Source organism: Homo sapiens, chromosome 17 (assembly GCF_000001405.40).
Source record: "Homo sapiens chromosome 17, GRCh38.p14 Primary Assembly".
NCBI lineage: Eukaryota > Metazoa > Chordata > Mammalia > Primates > Hominidae > Homo > Homo sapiens.
Window position 1 is genome coordinate 17,501,532 of NC_000017.11, and position 20,583 is coordinate 17,522,114.

General features: G+C 59.8%; 1 protein-coding gene across 8 annotated transcripts in view, besides 5 other annotated features; it reads right to left on the reverse strand.

The window, feature by feature from the left end:
* Positions 1,841-2,813: an enhancer, noted in NCBI's record as "H3K4me1 hESC enhancer chr17:17406686-17407658 (GRCh37/hg19 assembly coordinates)". NCBI's record gives its function as "activates a minimal SCP1, AML or CMV promoter by ChIP-STARR-seq in primed H9 embryonic stem cells {active_cell/tissue: H9 hESC(primed)}" and the evidence as "EXISTENCE:reporter gene assay evidence [ECO:0000049][PMID:30033119]".
* Positions 4,032-20,583, reverse strand: part of PEMT (phosphatidylethanolamine N-methyltransferase) — an 86,580-nt gene continuing 70,028 nt past the window's right edge. For 6 of the 8 annotated variants that reach the window (XM_024450532.2, NM_001267551.2, NM_148172.3 and 3 more), the window contains exons 4-7: positions 10,978-11,123; positions 7,903-8,014; positions 4,696-4,770; positions 4,032-4,317 (exon numbers count right to left, since the gene is read on the reverse strand). In XM_024450532.2, coding sequence (XP_024306300.1) covers positions 4,260-4,317; positions 4,696-4,770; positions 7,903-8,014; positions 10,978-11,123 — 391 coding nt within the window. In that variant the 3' untranslated portion in view covers positions 4,032-4,259. Of the gene's footprint in view, positions 4,318-4,695; positions 4,771-5,637; positions 5,669-7,902; positions 8,015-10,977; positions 11,124-16,442; positions 16,627-20,583 lie in introns of those variants that run through there. The other 2 variants (NM_001267552.2, XM_017024016.2) reach the window with 2 other exon arrangements.
* Positions 11,198-12,067: an enhancer, noted in NCBI's record as "H3K4me1 hESC enhancer chr17:17416043-17416912 (GRCh37/hg19 assembly coordinates)". NCBI's record gives its function as "activates a minimal SCP1, AML or CMV promoter by ChIP-STARR-seq in naive H9 embryonic stem cells {active_cell/tissue: H9 hESC(naive)}" and the evidence as "EXISTENCE:reporter gene assay evidence [ECO:0000049][PMID:30033119]".
* Positions 12,068-12,937: an enhancer, noted in NCBI's record as "H3K27ac-H3K4me1 hESC enhancer chr17:17416913-17417782 (GRCh37/hg19 assembly coordinates)". NCBI's record gives its function as "activates a minimal SCP1, AML or CMV promoter by ChIP-STARR-seq in naive H9 embryonic stem cells {active_cell/tissue: H9 hESC(naive)}" and the evidence as "EXISTENCE:reporter gene assay evidence [ECO:0000049][PMID:30033119]".
* Positions 13,808-14,677: an enhancer, noted in NCBI's record as "NANOG-H3K27ac-H3K4me1 hESC enhancer chr17:17418653-17419522 (GRCh37/hg19 assembly coordinates)". NCBI's record gives its function as "activates a minimal SCP1, AML or CMV promoter by ChIP-STARR-seq in naive H9 embryonic stem cells {active_cell/tissue: H9 hESC(naive)}" and the evidence as "EXISTENCE:reporter gene assay evidence [ECO:0000049][PMID:30033119]".
* Positions 15,548-16,417: an enhancer, noted in NCBI's record as "H3K4me1 hESC enhancer chr17:17420393-17421262 (GRCh37/hg19 assembly coordinates)". NCBI's record gives its function as "activates a minimal SCP1, AML or CMV promoter by ChIP-STARR-seq in primed H9 embryonic stem cells {active_cell/tissue: H9 hESC(primed)}" and the evidence as "EXISTENCE:reporter gene assay evidence [ECO:0000049][PMID:30033119]".

Here is a 20,583-nt window from a genome sequence, read left to right on the forward strand (position 1 = left end):
AACAATCCAGCCAATCCCAAATGGCAGGACTGCATGAGAGGTGGCCATCCAGGGGGTCCAGAGTACACTGACAATTAAAAAAAATGATCGGGGCTGGGCGCGGTGGCTCACGCCTATAATCCCAGCACTTTGGGAGGCCGAGGCGATCAGATCACCTGAGGTCAGGAGTTCGAGAGCAGCCTGGCCAACATGGTGACATCCTATCTCTACTAAAAATACAAAATATTAGCCGGGCGTGGTGGCAGACACCTGTAATCCCAGCTACTCAGGAGCTTGAGGCAAGAGAATCACTTGAAGCTGGGAGGTGGAGGTTGCAGTGAGCTGAGATTGCGCCACTGCACTCCAGCCTGGGCAACAAGAGCAAAACTCCGTCTCAAATATAAATAAATAAAAATAAAAATAAAAAATTATCATCAAGGTGGGCATGTAAGAAGATGCACGTGCTGTGAAAAACAGGCTAGAAGTTCCTCAGTGGGTCCAATGTGTGAGTTACCATATGACCTAACAATTCCACACCTAGGTATTTGCCCAAAAGCAATGAAAGCGTGTCTACACAAAAACTGTCCACAAGTGTTTACAGCAGCATTCTTCACAACAGCCCGAAGGTGAGAGCAACCCAAGTGTCCATTGCCTGATGGATAAACACAGCATCTCCATCCACACAGTGGAACACTGTTCAGCAGTAAAAATGACGAGTGCTGAGGCATGGCACTACGCAGCTGAACCTCAAAGACACAGTGCCGAGTGAGAGAAGCCGGACACCAATGGACAAATACCGTGATTCCATTTATAGGAAGTGTCCGGGAGAGGCAAATCCATAGAGACAGAGAGCGGCTTGGTGGCGATTAATGCTGGAGAGGAGTCGGGGGTGACAGCTCAGGGGTACAGGGGTCTCTCTGGGGAGTGACGAAAATGTTTTCATGATTGTGGTGATGCTTGCACAACTCTTTGGATAAACAAAAACTCACAGAATTGTGTGTATGGCTTGTGAATTGTATGTATGGGTGAATTGTATGTATGGCTTGTGAATTATATCTCAGTAAAGATGTTAAAATTATAATAGAAATGAAACCATAAAATTGGCCAGGTGGCAGGACTGTGTGCTCCAGGTTGAGAAGCGTGAATCTCGCCCCCTGATGAACAGGTACTGGTTCCAGCCCAGCCCTCTCACGACACCCGGCAGCCACCTGCCTGTTGCAGAGGGACTCAGGATCTCTCCAGCTCCCCTGGACCCGCCCACCATGGGGGCTACCCTTTTGTTCCCCATTCATCCCCAAATCCTGGACATTCTCCCCCTTACACATCTCTCATGTTCCCTCTTCCCACCTCACGCCTCTGTCCAGGGCCTAGCACCATCACCACTGCCCAGAACAACTCTGTAGGGGCCTCCCCACCCTGGGGGCCTCCTCACAGTAGGAGACCCTGTTTCCACCCTGCAGCCAAGGGGAACCTGTCACTTTCCTCCCATACTTCATTTGTTTCTTGGAACCTGAGTCCCTCACCAGGCCTGCCTGTTGCAAGGGACACTCGGGAGCCCTGGACCCTCTCCTGGGTCGGCCCACCACAGCCGTGGCACATGCTGTTCCCTTGGGCGGGAAGGCTCCTCACCCACCCCACTGCCTCACCTCCTGACACCTGCTCACACCCAGATCTGACTTCAAAACTCACCTCACCAGCGAGAATGATTCTGCAGAGCCTGAGGACGCAGATCGATCATGGCAGCGATGAGAGGAAAACATCCCGCCCTGTCCCCATCCTGCAGTGGCTTGTCCCAAGGGGTGGCGTGCCCCTGAGGGCAGGGCATGAAAACCATGCTCATAGCTGAGTGAGTCCCCTGCCTGTGTCATAGAAGGACTAACTCAATATTGTTGGATGGATGGATGGACGGATGGACGGATAGATGGATGGACGGATAGATGGATAGGGGTGTCCAGGTGGAGGGAATGGCGAGAGTAGACGCAGGAATAAGCGGAGGTGATCTGAGACCTGAAGACATCGCAGGAGCCCAGATGGAGGGAAGGAGGCCGCGGTGGGACAGGCTCTGGGGAGAGAATAAGTCCTGGGCCCCAGGGTTAATGGGCCAAGACTTCCTTCTGAGGACAACAGGGGGTTGAGGGGGTGTCCTGACCCCATTTGCATTTGGCAGGGGGGGTGGTGTGAGGGTGAAGCGCAGGGGTGAGTGGGGAGTGGGCAGGAGGTGGGAGCCCTGAGGGGAGGGGCCCACTGGACTGAGCCAGGCCGGTTGCCAGGGAACCAGGCTTCCTCCGGCTGCACACACAGCTGGGTGCTGAGTAAGTGGTACCTAAAAATAAAGCCCCCCAGTGGGGGCTGGGACTGATGGGGAGTGGAGGTGGGGAGCAGGGAACTGCCTAGGAACATGAGCAGTGCTCAGGCTGAGACTTTCTGGCACCTCCCACCCATGGCCCGGATCCCAGGCCGAGCATCCTGGCTGGGGAGACAGGGAAGGAGGCCCAGAGAGAGAAGGAGCCAGCACAGCTGAGGGATGGAGAGGCTCTGTGGCCCAGACCCTGAAGGCCACCTGCCTGGGCTGTGGGGCCCGGTCAACTGGGCACCTGGGATAGCGAAGACACAGGTGAGGGTCAGCCTTGCCCAGCAACCCTGGCACCATCATCCACTCTACCTCCATATGCAGAGTGGGAAGTTGGGGAACCTGCCCAGGTCCAGGGGCGAGGGGGCTGGGGCTGGGGCTGGGGCAAGAGGAGTTCAGGGCTGGCAGCCCTGCCTCCACCATGTGCCCTGGGGGCCAAGGAAGTGGGACAAGAGGCCGTGTGATGAAAGGGTCAGGTTCACTCCTCGGAAGCCCTGTGGCTTCTGACAGCTCTGGCCTGGGGACTCCTGTGCTGGGGGGTGAGTCTCCTTGCACCCGCCTCCAGCCCTCCAAGGAGAGGGCCAGGCTTGCCTGGAAGGCTCAGGAATGCGGCCCGGGACCCCATCTTGGCGGTGTGAGCACGAAGATCCTGGATTGAGGGCGCTTTGTAAATATCCATTCAGGCCGTGGCTTTGCAGCCCTGAGCGAAAGTAACGGGAGGTCAAGGGAAAGCCGGCCCTCGGCCACTGTCTCTGAGCTTGACTGAGGACCCCTGGAGCTGGAGGAGGGCGGTGATCTGCCTGAGGTCACAGGTGGAAGAGGAGAGGGGCTGGAACAGGTGGAGGCCTCTCCCCGCAGAACCCTAATCCCCACACGGCCTCCGGGAGCCCCTGACTGGCCTTCGGGGCTCACAGAGAGACCCTGAGGGATAATGTTGACCAAAGCTGAAGGGCTGAGGGCCTCTAGCACCCCGGGGAGAATCACCCCAAAGCCCACCAAGCATAGAAGTCCTCGACCTGCCCCAGTCAGGGGGCCTGGAGTCCTGGGGGCTGAGGGGTGACCCTGCCACCAGCAGCAGAACTGGGATGAAAACAGGAAGTGGCGGCATGGATGCCAGGAGGAGAGGGGGAGGGTGTCCCCTCTGTCCACCTCAGGAGTCCCAGTGGCAATGGCTGAGCCTACACTCCTGGTCACTGTGCCCTGCCTCCCCCAGATGAGGCTTACCCTTGCAGGGCCCACCCCTCACCCCCATACAGACACATAGGGTGCCCAGCATGTGTCCAGCTGCTGGTCAGCACAAGGCCATTCATTTAGGAATGACAGTGTCATCTGCCCAGCTAGACTGGGGTGGCCAAGGACAACATGCCCACACCTCTCCACCCTCATGCTGACGGACACGGGGCTGGATCCTCCAAGGGAAGAGGCAGCAGAGGGGCTGTCTTGGGTGTGCTGGGGCAGGGGTGGGAGCAGGTGACACAAGACACCAAGTCTCCTGGAGATGAAACCATGGCCATGGCCAGGTGAGCCCCTGACGCCTCCTAAGTACCTTACTGGGAGGCCTGGAGAGAGGTGCCCACCCCTCAGCTCTGAGATTTCAAGACAGAAAGGCTGGAGCCAGCCTTGCTCGGGAGCTATTTGACCTGATATTCGTGCCCCAGGCCTGCTCCTTCCCCACACAGACAGACAGAGGCTGGAGCAGATGTTGGGGTCAGGGTGCCTTTATTGGTGAATGGGAATGTGTGGGTTGGAGCTCAATGGCCATATGTCGGCACGTCCAGGGTCCCCAAGGCAGCAGGTTCCAAGGCACTGGGGCAGCCCACGCCGGGGGCGAGCCCTGAGCAGCAGGCACCATTCTCGCCCTGCGCAGGGCCTGCCACTTGGGGCAGGCCAGGAGGCTGGCCAGGCCTTCAGCAAAGCTGTTGCAGCTCAATCAGCTCCTCTTGTGGGACCCGGAGGCTTTCTGCCGGTAGATCTCAGCGGTGAAGGGCCTGCCGGGCAGCGGGGAGAGGCTTCGGTCAGCAGGTCCTGGGGGTGACCCACTGCCCGCACCAGAGCTCTGCGTCCATCAGCTTGAGGGTGTCCAGATGGGACCGGGATCCCCTTCATCCCCCAGAGCCACTGGGGCAACACTGACTTGGAGCCTTCAGAGCGCAGGCGGGAGAGGGGAGGGGAGAGGGGCCGGCTGCCTGCTGGGTCCTGCAGGCCGCATTGTAAGCTACCATGGCCGCTCTGACCTGGGAGCCCTGGAGTGGGCCTGGCTGACGGCAGCCTGTCCTGAGCCTGCCCTGGCCACAAGGAAAGGTTCTAGAGGGAGAGACAGGGCCAGTCGGGCAGCCACGCCCCCACCCGCCGCAGCCCCTACTCACTCTTCGTATAGGAGAGCCACTATGTAGGTGAGGGCCACCAGCACCGTCAGGAGCAGGCCCGTGGGGCTGGCGTGCCTGAAAGGACAGAGGCAGGTCAGGCCTGGCTGGAGCCAGGGTCTCTCAGGGCCACGGCCCACCTGCCCAGGCTGGCCCTTCCTGCCGTGACCCTGGCCCTCCGGCCGACGCTGGGCCACTTGGGCCGACCGAGCCCAGGCAGCACTGCCCCTTCCTGAGTCTGGCTTTTGTGCCAGGACCAGGGTCCCCATGTTCTCGGTCCTGATCCATTTATCATCATTGTCTGCCTGTCTGGCCTGGCTGGGTTCCCTCAGGGTGGGGCCTGCTCACTCTTTCCGGGTCTCCAGCCGCCAGCCCAGAGCTGGGAACGCAGCCCCAGGCGGAAGAGTCCCAGTGGCTAGGGCTGTTCATTCCCGCACAGGAGGAGATTCTGGGGCAAAGTGCTCCCGTCTCCCAGAAACCATGCTCTGAGGAACAAAGGCTGTTTTCTAGAAATGAGTCCAGGGTCCCCCAAAGCCAGTTTGGTCCACCCTGAGTCCCCAGCCCCTGGCCACAGGTGCAACCCCATGGCCACGCCCTGGGAGGATCTGGCTGTGGGGAAGGGGGCTTAGGAGCTGCCGCCCCGCCCAGCCCTCAACACCTAGCCCAGCTTGGGCTCTCCCAGGTGGTGGGACAGCAGCCCCACGCCCAGGAGCCCCCGGTCACCCCAGCCCAGAGGACGGGAGGCCCCAGGCAGAGCATACAGCAGGCCCAAGGCCGGATGGAGCATCGCCAGGGGCTCTTTGCTGGTGACCAGCTCCTGACCCCGCCACACCAGTAAGCAGCGGCAGCTCGTCAGTGACGGCACCAAGGAGCCCGGGCGCAGCTGCTTTGGGTTTCCAGAAATAGCTGCCGTCAAGCTGTCCCCCAATCTATTTCTATAGTTACCTCTGATCCCACAGCTCCCGCAGGTGCTGGGCTGCTGCCAGGGAGGAGGGAGGGAGGGAGGAAGAGAGGAAGGAGAGGGAGGAAAGGAGCTGTCTGGCGGGCACAGAGGGCGCATGGGCAGGCCTGGGCCAGGGGCTGTGCCCTCCTTGGCTGCCCCTGTGCCAAGCTGCCCCCTCCCCAGCCAAACCATCACAAGAACCTCAGGCAGGGCTGGATCGAGGTGAGGGCTGGAGGACACCTGTGGACCCCGTGGGGACCCTCTGCCCTGCCCACTGCCTTCCACCCCTGGACCTCACACTGGTCTGCCTGTCTGGGAGCTGCAGGAGGCAGGGCAGACGTAAGCAAAGATCCAAGCCCAGGCTCCAACCCCAGGCCTGGCAACCAGCAGCGACCCCACTGTGGGCGCCGAGGGGGACAGGAGTCCCTGATTGCACAACACGAAGCAGGAGGCCCACCTGTCCCTCACAGCCAGGCCACCACCTCTGCCATCTGTCCCCTGGCATCGGGCTCACTGCCACACAGCCTGCTGGGGTCCTACATGCCGGGGAGCTCAGACACCTGGAAGCCCATCTCCGGGGCCCTGGCAGGTGAGAGACAGATGGGCCGTGGGAGGCCTGTGGGGGTCCCCGCTGTGTCAGCGTCTGGCCAGATAATGGCTCATCTCTAATGAGCTCCTGGACCATTGATGCCATCTCTCAGCACGCTGCATGGCTGATGTCCTCTGGAGGCGGCTTATGCGTCCCCCAGAGCCCTGGCCTGGCTGCCCCGAGCCCAAGGGTGACTCTCACTCCAGGGCACAAGACACTGCTGGGGACACTAAGCCACTGGGGAGGCACCGAAGGTTGGGGGGTTAGGGAGGGATTCGTGCAGGAGGGAACACTTGACGTTGGGTTTGGAAGGACTGACAAGGGGCATAAGTGGGAGGGTTCTAGGCGAGGGAACAGTGTGTGAGTGCATACATGCATGTGTTTGTGCACACAGAGGAGAGGGGGGAGCCAGGTGTGTTGGGAACCCTAAGCCTGCAGGGACGACCTGGGTGGGGGGGATTGTTTTGAGTTTGGGCTCATCCTGTGGCCCCAGTGGGGGTGCTCCATGGCCGGTGAGCCTGGGGGCACATAGTCTGGGCCTTAGCAGGCAGAGGGACCAGGCTAGAAGGCAGGTAGGACGTGTCCCTGGGGACTGCCTGGCCTGGACGTGGGGTGGGGGTAGGGTGGGTCCCAGCCAGACCCACAGCCCCCCTTCTAGCTTCTGCTGTCTCCAACCCCCGCTGCTACGGTCCCAACTGCTGAAGGTGGGAGCCAGGAGGCAACATCTTGCGCTTGACATTCACTGTTTACGATTCACTCCTTTGGGATCCTCAGGTCTTGTGGAGAACCTGTAAATTCTAGGCCAGTGGTTTTCAAGTGTTAAACAAAAGCAGTGGAACACTGTCTGCCAAAAAACCTTCTATGGAAGAAAATGGCTAAACTAGAACTGCTGGGGTGGGGGCTGGGTATGAAGCCGAGGGCAGCGCCCGCTGTGCCATCCTTGACCGCAGGTCCTCTGACCCGCCGGGGGAGCACATCTCCATACCTTGTCAGTACCCGTACCTGGCTGAGGCCGACAGCAGTTCTAGGCTTCCCTCATGGCACGGGGCCCCCTCTGTGGGAAGGGGTATCTGCCACATGGGCAGAGGCTATTGGGGCACAGGGAGTTCTGTCAGCTGCGGGTGAGCTGGGCCCTGGCGGCTCTGGCCAACCCCTCCTGCGGGGAAGATGGGTCGGGTGGTCCCAGCCCTGATGTCCCCGCACAAGGGTCCGCAAACTACGGCCTAGGGGCCAAGAACGCCTGTTACATTTTTAAACGGTTAAAAGCAAAAGGATCAAAAAGAATGTTTCATGACACGTGAAAAGAATCTGAAATTTAGGCTTCAGTGTCTGTAAGTGGAGCTGTGCTGGCGCCAAAGACGCGCATCCATTTTCCTGCGTCTGCAGCTGTTTTGTGTGGCAGGACCAGGGCTGAGCAGCTGTGACCTGCCTGCAGCCTTTGAGCCTCCACACTCCAGCCCTCTTTGGAGAAGCTGACCACCCTGTTCTGGGATGTTGTTTCTGTTACCATAGATAAGACGCTTCTGAGAAAGGGAGAACCAGGGCGCCTAGGCCCCCACAAATGACACGTTCTTCCTTTCTCTCTCTCCAGGGGCCCTGGCCCCCGCGTCCTGAGCTGCACCAGCTCCTCTCCGGGAGGTGGCCAGCAGGGCAGAGGGGTGGCAAGCCTGGTACTCACATGATGGCCCAGCCCAGGTAGTTGGCTGTGCTTCCCCAGTACATGGGGTTGTCCAGGATGTTGAAGGGGAACACGGTCACTCTCGCCTCCTTGAGGATCCCGAAGTAATCACCTGTGGATGAGGCAAGGCAGGGTCCCTCGGCTATTCATCAGCCCTGGCCACACCATCACTGAGGGAGGCCCCAGAGCGGGCTGTGGCGAGACCTGCAGGTGAGACAGGGCCCTGCCCTCCAGGAGACTTCAGAGAGTTCAACAATGGGCAGAGTCAGAGGGACCCAACAGGCACGCAGACAGCAGAGGGCGTGGGGCCTAAGGACTAAGGTGCTGAGCACCGCCCCTGCCCCACTGCTCCTCTTCTCGAGCACTCTGACCCAGCCATGCTGGCCTTCCTCTTCTTCCTGGCTCTGCACACGCTGTTCCCTCCCCTGCGATGCCTTTCCCTGCTCTCTGTACAGAGAGCGCCTTTCCTCCTCAGGCCCTTCGCCCTCTGCTCATGGCGCCTCTTTATGCAGACCCTTCCTCTTCCTGTCCTACCTCCCACTCTTCCTCGCTCTGGTGAGTTCCTCTCCCTCTAGGGGCCTCAGCTGGTTGCTAAGGGCTGCTCTGCTCCACACCCCAGGCTGTGTGGCTCTGGCACCAGGGCCTGGCCACAGCACGCCTCCCGTTGCTCTGGGAGGTCAGCTCTGGTATTGTTTTCTCACTCAGCTGCCCAGAGGAGCTAGACCCAGTGGAGAGAGGGTGACTATTGAACAGCCTGTTCCAGACAGGCCAGCCATGCACCCGTCAGCCGCACAGCCACAAGGCGTCCCCCGGCAGAGCTGCTCTGAGCCATAAGGGAGTGGCCGGGGTCACAGTCACAGTGTCTGTCCCAGGCCCACAGAGGACAGTCCCACTGGACACAGAGTAACCGCTCCATAAAGGGTGTGGCTTCGTTCCTCCCAGCCTTCTGTCCCCAGAAACCCCTCATTTGTCTCTCCTCCCAGAGGACAATGGAGCTTCATCCAAGGCGGAAAGTAGGGCAGCTGCCCGACAATGGGCAGCATGGGCAGGAGGGGTCCAGGAGCTTCATCACCATCTGGGGACACGGGGCAGGGCCCAGGACCACTGGAAAGTTCTTTCTTCCCAGGAAGCAGGAAGTGGGGCACAGGGTGTGCGTAGATGGCACAGAAACCCAATTCGAGCTGAGTCACAGCAGGAAGTGACCACCTTTGCCTACATACCGCGCTGCTGGTCCTCGGTGTTTCTAGGCCATGTCTGCTGGCAGGGCCGCCAGGAGGCTGTGGCCACTGGTGTTTGCAGGCTCCTTCCCTCCCTCTGACTGTCCAGGACCCCCAGCTTGTTCTTCCACTGCTGAGGGGCTCCACCCACCATCCTGGCTCTCCTTACGCTGCCTCTGCAGCCCTCCCTGTCCAGATCCACCCGAGCACTGGCCACTGGAGGGCCCCCGCCGCTGGTCTCCCACAGGACCTGATTGCACAGCCCGGAGTCCCCCTTCCCATGGGGCCCTCACCGCCCTCACATCCTGGAAGGGCCCCTCCACAGCTCCTCCTGAGCCCCACCTCTGATCCTGGCTCCATCGGTCCAACCTCTTCCTTGCTGGGACCCCCCCTATGGCTCCCACCTCTCTGGGGATGGAGCCTCAGCCCCTTGGATGGCCTTCAAGGCCTCGGCTCATCCTCCTGCCCTGTCCCAACCGACAGCACCTGTGCGGCCAGTCCAGCTGCCCCCCACCTCCAGCTGCCAGCTACTCTGCCCTCAACCTCCCTCTCCTTGCACCAAGGCTTTTTTCTCTTTCCTACCTGCCCGCACCTGCCCCCACCTGGCAGATCCAGACGCTCCTGGCTGCTGTCCCCCTTCCTGGACCAAACTCCCTACAGCGTCTGCCTGAGCAGGAAGCACTGAACTGCCTGTGGGTGCCCCCCACAGTCCCAGAGAGGCCTGGCCATGGGCGATCCAGAATGCTGCACCCACAGATGCCACTTCCTCCCTCGGGGGGACCCCTACTGGCAGGCACAAGCTCCTTGAGAACTTGGAGTGCCCTGTGACAGCCCACGGTGCCCTGGGGGCTGGGCCCAAGGAGCTGTAGCCGGCATCTGAGGATGGGGATGGCAGGCAGGCCCGGGAGCTCCTCAGGACACCGTTGGTCCCAGGAGGCTACTGAGGCCACTGAAGCCGAGTGACTTCCAAGCTCCTGCACTGGCCAGGGCTGATGGGGAGGAAGACGTGGGCCTTCCCACCCATGACGGAGAGCGGGCAATGCGGCCAGCTGGACCAACTCCCTGCTCACTGGGAGGGGCTCCCCTTGGACAGGGACTGCCTCCTTCTCTCCTTCCAGGTTCCGAAGGCCCCCTCTTGTCCCCCACCCCTGCCCCCATCTCCCCTCCCACCCCGACCCCTACTGCCTTTCCCATGGCTGCTTTTCTTTCCCAGATTCCAAGGAGCTGGAAGTTGCTGCCATCATCAGGGTCATTGGTGGGCGTCTAGCCAGGCCAGCACTGGGCTCACAGCCTGAAAGCACCTCAGCCACAGGCAGAGGGAAATGGAGAAGGGATAAGGTGCCTCCACCCCTCACCCCTCCCCAGACCTACACCAGCCCTGCCTGCGGCCAAACACGGCACAAACCACAATCCTGCCTGGCCTGAGAGCCACGCGTGCCGGGAGCTGCCAGAGAGGTGGCTGACTCACCACCACCTCAGGCTTCTGTGCAACAAGGCCTGAGAGTCTTCTGCAAGGGGGAGCTGGTGCTGGAGCTGGACTCAAGGAGTCCTGCACCCAGCCCGGGCCGCAGAACGGGCATTGAGTGCATCTTCATTAGCTGGAGAGAAGCAGCAGGAGCTGCCTTCACTCCCCAGGAGGCAGCCGCTCAGCACGCTGGGGTAAGAGGAGCTGTTGGAGCCCAGCCTCCTGTTCTAACCACAGACAAGCCAGGCCTGGAGGAGCAAAGACGCCCCGATGGAGGGGGCCCCTAGCACTCCCACCGATGTCACGGATAGCAGGGCAGCAGCCACCTGGCCCTGCACCTCCCTGGGGCTCCAGCGGTCCTGCTCAGGGTCACCCCAGCCCTCAGGGTCTTACCTAGGAAAGTTCCAGCGAACCCCAGTGCAAAGAAGCTGGAGAGCACGAGCACGACGCCCAGTCCCAGGAGCGCGAGGCCCAGGCTGTAGGCCGCGGGGGTGTCCAGGCTCTCCATCCTGGGCTGGCTCAGCATGGCCTGCGTGAAGCTGTGGGCAGGGGATGGAGAGGGAGGACGTCATGGCCAGGGAGGATGTCACAGCCCGGGAGGAGGCCGACCTCATCTTCTCGCCCTCTCCCCAGGGACCCTTAGAGAGTAGCCAGCCCAGGGCTGCCAGGCCAGGCAGGCAGCAGGTGGGGTCCAGTCCACCTGGGAGGTGGGTGACAGTAACAGGGAGGGGCCCAGGCCTGTCAGATTTTTAAATTTTTTCAAGAGAAGCCAGAAATCCTGACTCGTATGTGAAATATCCTAATTTTTAGAAATAGACAATTCATGAAAGCCACTTTAGACCCTGCATGTGAGCAGGCTGGATTCAGCCCGAAGGCCACCAGCTTGCAAACTCTCATCCTGTCCAATGAGCAACTCATACTATGGAGGAAAGTGAGGCTCAGGAAAGACGCAGGTGCCAGGTTGCAGGGCAGGCCCAGGTGTCCCATTCCCCAACAGACTCAGTGCCCCGAGGCCTGGGGCATGCTCTGTGCTAGGGATTGCGCTTCCACAGCCCCTGTGGGTCTGGCCACATCCTGGGTGGCTTGACTTGCATTTAAAGGCACTTTGGGGGCCCTTAATGTCCTCCTCCACACCTGAATTCCCCCACTAGGCTCCCTTTGGGGCCAAACCACTGAAGGCCTTGTAAAAAGGTAGTGGGGTCCAGGTGTGGTGGCTCACGCCTGCAATCCCAGCACTTTGGGAGGCCGAGGTGGGCGGGTCACCTGAGGTCAGGAGTTCAAGACCAGCCTGGCCAACATGGTGAAACCCTGTCTCTACCCAAAATACAAAAATTAGCTGGGTGTGGTGGTGGGCACCTGGAATCCCAGCTACTTGAGAGGCTGGGGCACAAGAATCGCTTGAACCCAGGAGGCGGAGTTTGCACACCACTGCACTCCAGCCTGGGCAATAGAGCGAGACTTAGTATCAAAAGAAAAAAGAAAAAAAGAAAAGGCAGTGGCGTGACCAAAAGGGGGTGACTATGACAGCAGTGGGTCTAGAGGCTCAGGTTCTCCAGTTGGCTCCGGAGAACTGAGGGGCTGGTGCAGGGAGGGCACAGGGGCTAGGCATGTGCTGATGTACCCAGGCCTCATCACAGGGGAGCGGGCGCTGGTGGGAAGGGGGCCCTGGGTGCTAGATGAGAGGCACACTCACAGGAAAGGCTGTGTGTGGGAGCACGGACATGTGTGACCAAATGTGCTCTTCCCATGCTCACAATAATCACAACACAGAAGAGACATGGAGATCTGCTACCTCACGCAGGGCAGCGCCTTTCACACCCAGTCTGTAGACGGCATCTCCCAGCAGGGCCAGCTTACCATCCACCCCACCACCCATCCTTCCTCCATCCATCTATCCTCTATGCACCCACACATCCATCCATCTGTCCAGCTATCCATCCTTCCATCCATCAATGTATCCTCTATCTGCCCACACAACCATCCATCCATCCACCATGAAGTATCTTTGTTTGCTAGGCTCTTTCAAGCAGATTGAAGCCCCCATCTTCATCCACTCGTTCCATTCATTGGTGAATTCAGATTGTTGTGAAACTCCTTATGCTGAGCTAAGGACATACAGACATGTCTTTATGCCTCCCTGGAACTCCTTCCTCCAGCTTGACTGGGAGCTCTTGGGGAACAGAAGTTGCTCCTCCTTCCCTGCGTATCCCCCCAGCACTTGGCCCAGGCCACAGAATGGATGTTTAGTGCATATTCATCGACTGGAGAGAAGCAGTAGCCGCTCCTTCCTTCTCCTCCCATCCCCAAGAGCAGAGAAGGAGCCAGGGAGAAAGGGAGAAGGGCCTGTGGACAAAGCCACCAGGACCCGGTGGCAGAGGCGGGCACACCGACCTGTTAAACAGCGGCATTCGGGTGTCAGGGCAAACCCACTGCCGGTCATGCTGCCCATACCCCCAGCTCTCCACCCACCAGTGCCCTGCCCTGATCCTGCTGCTGCCCGGGCTCAGGGTCACCCCGCAGCTCCAGGCCGAGCCTCTGGGATTGGCTCAGGGTCACGGGCTGCCATGGAATCAGGTGGCCACATGCACACCCAGTGTGGTGCCACGATCCAGGCACACCTTCTCCCCTGCCTGGCACCCTCCACTCTCCTGCCTGCAGATGGTGGAGTGGGAGGGAAAGGAAGGGTGCCGGCCCTGCTCAGGAGCATGGCTCCCCTGCAAGCATCTGGCTCCTTGGCTGCCACTGCAGTGGGGACCAGAAAACAGACAGGGGTTGGGAGGGGCGAACAGGGGAGAGCATTCCAGAAAGAGGAAATAGCAGGGAGGTGTGCCTTAGAGTCTGGGGCAGGGCATGGAGCAGGGAAGGTGCAGGCCTCGGCCCGGCAGGGTTTGGAATGCACTCTGCCTGCTGTGGAAAATGCAGAACCAGGGAGACCCATCCAGGTGCTGCAATAGGGGGTGGGCGCAGAGGCCAGGCCCGAGACGCTGGAGGGTCACTCTGGACGGAGACTCTGTCGCTCTTACCCCCTCCTGCGGAGACCCGAGCCAGGCCTGGGTCCATACCCCATGCTCAGGGTTCCTCTGCCAGAATTCATCTGCATCACACAAGCAGGCAGCAGATGAAAGGGAACTTCCTCCCTCTGGTGTGGCCCAAAAGCCCAGCTCATTCAGGGCCCAGCTTCCCTGGGGGCATGGCTCAGTAGGCAAATCAGATCTGCTTGGAAGCAGATTCCTGATGAAGGGCAGATCCGGGGCCAGGGAGCGGGTGGGAGAGGCCCCAGATTTGCCCCAGACCTGACCCTCAGTCCCCCAGCTGCTCCTCCGCCTACGGCCCCAGTCCTGGGGCCTTTCCTTTCCTTTCTCTGAGATGACAGCCTGGGCTGGCTCCTGGCACAATGCTCTGTGGGTCATTTGCTCAGAGTCGGCAGAGGAACTGGGCTGAGCTCCTCCCTGGCGTTCTCACCAAGTGGCCCCTTACCCAGTCAAATACACTCTGATTCTAGATTCCAGGTTTACTGGAATCTCATGGCCCGAATTAGGCAATCGACAGTGTTCTAGCTCCTCCATTAAGCCAGGAAAGCACAGTCCGTCCATTCCACAGGGAAAATTAGTGGATGGATGAGTAGCTCTGTGACCACAAGCTCCCTAACAGAATGAGGTAATATAGGACGCAATTTCCCTTGGAAGTATTCCGCACTAGGGGTGGGGAACGGAGACTCATTCATTTGCCTTGGGTTCTATTTTTAAGACCTGGATTGAACCTTCAGTCATTAATGTGATTTGAGGCTGTCTGCACTCTGCTCCCATAAAATCCCGGAAACCCTGGGGTGGAGGTGGGGAGGGGGCATCACTGCCCTCAGTGTCCCCGCCCTGTCCCCAGCCAGCAGTCCTGGGCCACACACCAGGCCAGAGGCACACGGCCCCACCTGGGACAGGCCTGTCCCGTTTCTATCTGCAGCCGACCAGAAACACTTCCCTGACTTTGATCATCCTGGGGTGTCTCCGCAACGTCGTCCACATCCATGTGTGGCCTGAGTGCCATGTACTCCACATCCTTCACCCCAGGCTTGGAGTGACTCGCTCTTTCCACTCCATCTCAGCTACACGACGCTAGCCATGAAATGAGTCGTCTGATGGGCTCATTTCTTTTCCAAGACATATTAAAATAAGCATGTAACTACTAAAACAAAAAATGTTCATCTATGCAACCCCCGAGACCATCAAAGGGCTTGAATTTCGGGCTTTGACGCTGCACTAATTCTGAGCATTTGAATAACACGTCACCTTTCCAAAGTGTTTCCAGAACCCATCAATAGCTGAGAGAGAGTCTGTCTTGTTTTACAAACAGGGAAGCAGATGGTAGAAAGCAGGAGGGGCAGGATGGCTCTCCTGCCTCCTCACGACCTGTAAACAGTGGGATAGGCTCAAGCCTCACGGGCAGGCCAAGGACAACAGGCAGCAGTATCCCAGCACCCCTAGCACCTGGGAATCCCAGGCTGACACCCACTCTCCTTCCAGACTTCCTGGCCGTGTGTGCTTTGGGGATGGGGAGGGTGCCTCTTCCCTCCTTCCCAGCCACAGCCCCTCAGGTGCCAGACCAGCCTGGTCTACCAGGGCCTGGACCCACTCTTGCCGAACTGCAGCCCCTCTCCCTCCTTCCTTCCCAGCAGCTGGGGGCCCTTGTGCCCAGGAAAGCCTATGCCAGCTTCCCTGTCCTAAGTGTCCCCCCACCCCTTACTCTCCAGCTGCCCTCATGGACCCCGCCCAGTGGCTACCCCAGGCACCTGCCTCGAGGAAATCACTCTGGTGAAGGGATTTCACAAATAGAATTCAGGTCCTAATCAGCTGGCCTTGAGTTAATCAAAAGGGAGGTGACCCTGGGTAGGCCTTTCCAAAAGGGTCTAGAAGCCAGAGAGACCAAAAGCCAAAGCCACAGAGCTGCCTGCTGTGCTGCGGGGAGGCCACCAGGAGCTGGGCCTCAAGGACCCGCGTCCTGCCAGCAACCCGAAAGAGTGGAGGACCACGCCTTGGGTGAGCTCACACCCAGCAGGCACCTTGATTCCAGCCTGGGGAGTCCCTAAGCAAAGACCCCGCCCCCGCATCCAGCCTCCTGGACACAGAAACTGTCACATAGTAAGTTTGTGTGGTTTAAGCCCTAAGTGTGTGGGAATTTGTTACACAGCAGAAGGAAACTAATACACTTGGCTTCCCAGTCCACAGACTCTTTAAAAATTCTGGCCTGTTCTGCCAAGACAGCAGGAGTCGCTTTTTTCTGCCATGGAACGCTGCACACGCCCAGCCCTCCATTGCTCCATCGGAAGCAAACTGTCCCATCAGCTCCATGCCCTCCCTCCTTCATGCAGCCGCTCAACCCCCGGCCTGTCCTGACCACATCCTTGAGCAGGTCCGGCCAGGCACTGGGTGGGATGCAGCAGTGACCAGGACATGTAGTCACCAGGACAGAGGGCCACCTGTGCCAGCCTCCTCCAGGGCCACAGTCCCCAAAGGCCTGGCCTCAGAATCATCAGGGAGTTTTTGAAAACAGACTTCCCTAGGGGAGAGGGGCTCTGGGGTGAGTCTGGTGTCCCACAGGGTTGCACCTGCCCCACGGCCTCTAGTATACAGAGCGCTGAGGTGAGTCCCCACCTGCCCTGCCCCTGCTGCCCAGCCTGTGAGTGGGGGCCGCCCTCTCCTGGGACTCATGGGCCCTGCCCAGCCATCTGAAGAGCCGGCTCACTCCTCCAGGCCTTGGTCGTAAGGCTTCTTCAGCCAGGGCTCCGCCTGCACCCCACCCACCCAGACCACCTTCCAGAGACCACCCTGCCCCTCCAGGTGCCTCCTAGCCCAGCCTGGGAATACCTCCAGGTTGAGGAAGATTCCTGATCGACAGCCACACTCCGAGGCCAGGATGCAGCTTCTTAGCCTGGCTGTGCCCGCCACACCAGAGCACACAGGAGCCTCTCCCCTCAGAAGACCCAGAGGGAGCCCTGGGAGACTCCAGGCAATTCCGATGTGCGCTGGAGCACAGTTCCATCCCGTGACTGGTGAACGACACCAGGAGCTCGCTGATGCCCTAACAAGCTCGGCTGTCTCCTCCCACAGCCAGGAGGGAGGAAGGGCTGCAGCCCAGTCCTGTGAAGCCCGTTCGAGCCCTGCCTGGCCATCCACGCCTCGCCCACCCCCGTGGGCTTTCTCGAGACCAGCCTTGTGGCTCATCAGAGGGTAGCGGTCCAGCCAAAGCTGGCCAAGTTCAGCTGTGCAGGGGGCAGCTCAGGCAAGGGACTTCAACAAGTGCCCCGGAGCCCATCAGCCTTCCTCCCCATTCACACTCCACAGCCAGAGCAAACAGGTCTGTGCTAATGGCCCCTTCGGGACTGGATGGAGCACACCTGCTTCCAGATAACAGTGGCTCATCCTGCCCCGGGCCTCCCCTGACCACCTCTGGATGCACTGCTGGTGCAGACCTGCTAACATAGTGACCTACTCTCCCCTGGGACCCGCTGGCAGGTCAGCTGCTGGTGGCCTCTCGGACATCCCATCCATGACCCAGGCTTGGCTCAAGCACGTGCCTGTGTTCTCTGCCCACCAACCGACTCCTGCTGGGTGCAGAGGCTTTTGAGCACAGCCTGGACCCCACAAAGCTTGCCATCTCCCATGGAGAACGATGCCACACCCCAAAGGTCCAGAACAGGCACACTCATGGGGACAGAAAGCAGACGAGTGCTGCCAGGGACTGGGGGGCGGGAGATGACTGCTCCAGGCCTATAGGGTGAGGAAAAAGCTCCGAAACTAGTCAGGAGGAAGGGCTGCACAACATCGGGAAGCTGCTAAATGTCACTGAATTGTAAAGCTTAAAATGGTTCATAACAGTTTATGTTATGTCTATTTTACTGCACAAAAAAGAATACCCACCTCTAGACAGCCACTGAAGCGAGGCATGCATGGGAAAGGGTGTGGGGGTGTGGGGTATGCAGGAGCTGGTCCCGAGGGTCCTGTCAGAGCCTGGCCCAACAGCCCGGTCCGGCTCCAGCACCTGCCACCTGTGTGCCTCACACTGGCAGGTGTGGGCGGGAAGGATGGGTCACCAGGGACATGGCAGGATAGGGTGCAGGCAGGGGCCTGGAGGGGAAGAACAGTGGGGGAGAGAGTGAGGACCAGGGCACACCTCTGCCTCTGAACACAAAAGGTGAGAGGAGAAAAGCAGCCCAGGACATCCTTTCTCTCCTCCCCAAAATCCAGGGGTGGCCAGTTCAACCAAAAGTCATGGCCCTGCTGGCTGGGCAGATGCCAGGTGAGGCCAACGCTGATATGAGAGGAGGGAAAGCTGGGAGCCACCATCTGTAAGAAGCTGACTTCCTCCAGCTACCCCAGGAGGACTCCCAGGCCCCGGGATCCAAGAACAAACCAGACAGTGCTTTGCTGCTGTCTACGGCTGGAACTGGGCTGTGGGTGGGCCTGTCCCCCTGGTCTCCTAGGTACACACAGCACTCGGCTGGGGCCTGGAGGAGGAAGGATGACCCCTTCCAGGGCCCTCTACTCTCTGCCTTGAAAAGGGGTGGATGACGGGGGCAGACCTCCAGGGTCAGGCAGATCACAGGCTGTGCTGCTGGACCAGCAGGGAGGTGATGGGGAGGACTCAAGGAAGCCTCTGGGGTTTCTAGTGCAAGATGAGATTGCGCAGGAAATCAGAACTCAGCAGAGACTCAGAGCAGCTCCCGGGGCAGGGCTGGCAGGAGGGGCTCCATCAAGGCAGCTGCCTTGTGGCGCTGGCCGGTGTTTCTGGGCAGTCACCTGGCCTGGTCTAGCTGCTCCTGGATCTGTGTGCGCTGTGGGCTGCAGCCCACTTCTCCTGCTTTGTGCCGGCCCTGATGGTGGTCCCGGCATGCTCTAGGGAGCAGGAGTGGTGGAACAGCTCAGCGTGCCAGCCCTGGGCTGAGTCTCAACCCTCTGCAGCCCTCCACCTGTCTTCAGCCTCGCTGTTCCTGTGGGGGGACTCCAAGCTCTGAGCGTTCAGTCGGCCAGCACCAGCCCCCTCCCTCCTGGCCGCTGGGGAGTGTGGATGCCTGGGGGCTGGAGGGCACAGACCCCTGACTGTCCTGCCAATGCAGCCAGGGCCCCATCCTGGGTAAGGAGGGACACTCTGCCGGTGGCCCAAGAGGCAGCATGGGTAGGAAAGAGGCCCATCTCCCGTCCCCTGATGCTCCCATAACCCAGCCTGGGTGGTGCCGGTGCCTGCCAGGTTCCTCTGGCCTAAATGGATGGAATCTTTTCTCCCTAAGCCACTGCTGAGCTGGAAGCTGCCTGTTCTCCAATGCTGGTCAGCGCTTCATGAGCTGTAAAACCTCGGGCAACCATTGCTTCTTTCCAAGCCTCACTTCCTCCATCTGCACAGTCAGAGTCTTCTCTACCCAGAGACTATAAATGTGAAAATGCTCCCTGGGGCCGGAGAGCCTAGAAGATTGTAAGCATGCAGGCTGTGCAGACGCACAGGCCCCGAGGCGGTGCCATGGGCCAAACCCCTTGCCCTCCGAGGGGTGAAAAGCCCTCTCTGGGGAAGCCTCTTCACATCATTCAACCCAGGGCAGGTGCCAGGGGACCCACCCCTCTGAGGACCAAGACCGTGGGATAGCCACCCAGGCCTAGAGAAAGCAGGCAGCCCTGGCCCAAAGGGCCAAGAAGCAAAGGCCAGGAGCCAGGGGTCCAGTGCGGAAGGCTGACCTCAGTAGGACCCTGACCACGCTGCTCACCCACATTCCTGTGGCCAAGGCCATGACAATGACGAGAAGGCAGCAAGGGTGCCTGGCCACGGAGGGGGAAGGCCTAGGCCACCCTCGGTGAGTGTGTGAGGGGCCTGACCACCAGCAAGGCCTGCCCCGGCTCCGCACGTGCTGGCATGGAGCATTCGCAGGCCCCTTCCTGTGTGCACCCAGTGCCTGCAAGCCAGGCTGGTCCGACGGAGATGGGGCCACGGGCAATGGGGAGAGCCAGGCTACACGCGCCCCATCCAAAGGGGGCAGCTGTGCCTCGGCCCCAGTGAGCGCTCCACGTGGGGTGTGGCCAGGCACACACAGAACTTCTGGTCTGTCTCGACAAGTCAAAAATGGGGATTCTCTGGTGCAGCTAGTTTCTCATTTTTTGGAGAACCACGTGGTCCATGTTTAGTCCATGAGCTGCCGTGCGCAATGATTCTCAGGGTACTGTGGGAGGTGAGACCGGGGCCCAGAGATGGGGCAGCTGCCCTGCACAGCCTGCATCCCCAGGTCGCCTGCAGCCATCACATTCCACGCAGGTGGGCCTTGTCTAGCCTGGTGTCTGGGCAGAGAAATTCGCTCCCAAGTGCAGTGGGCTGTGCCTCATCATCTAGTTCCAGTTCTTCTTCTCTGACCTTTTCATTTGACAGCAGGAAGGTGCCTGTCCCAAGTCCAGAGATGGGCAAAGAAGCTTTCTTTTAAAAAAAAAAAAAATGTGAGACGGAGTCTCGCTCTGTTGCCCCAGGCTGGAGTGCACTGGTGCAACCTCGGCTCACTGCAACCTCCGCCTCCTGGGTTCAAGCAATTCTCCTGCCTCAGCCTCTCGAGTAGCTGGGATTACAGGCGCATGCACCACCATGCCCGGCTAATTTTTGTATTTTTAGTAGAGACGGAGTTTCATCATGTTGGCCAGGGTGGTCTCGAACTCCTAACCTCAGGTGATCCACCCGCCTCGGCCTCCCAAAGTGCTAGGATTACAGGTGTGAGCCACCACGCCCGGCCTCAAAGAAGCTTTCTGACGCTGATTCAAACCTAACCTGGAGAGATGGTCAGGCCTGACCCCTGAGGGCTCCCGAGCCAGCATCCACCTTCTGACTGGACGCTTCCTGGAGGAGACTCCTAAAACAGCCTTGGCTACGTGGCAGAGGCTGGGATGTGACCTGGGGACCACCCAGGCATTGTCCCTTGCCCCCCATTCACATACCCCCATTCCTGAGGTCACTGGGGCTCCTCTGCTGGCCAGAGTCTAA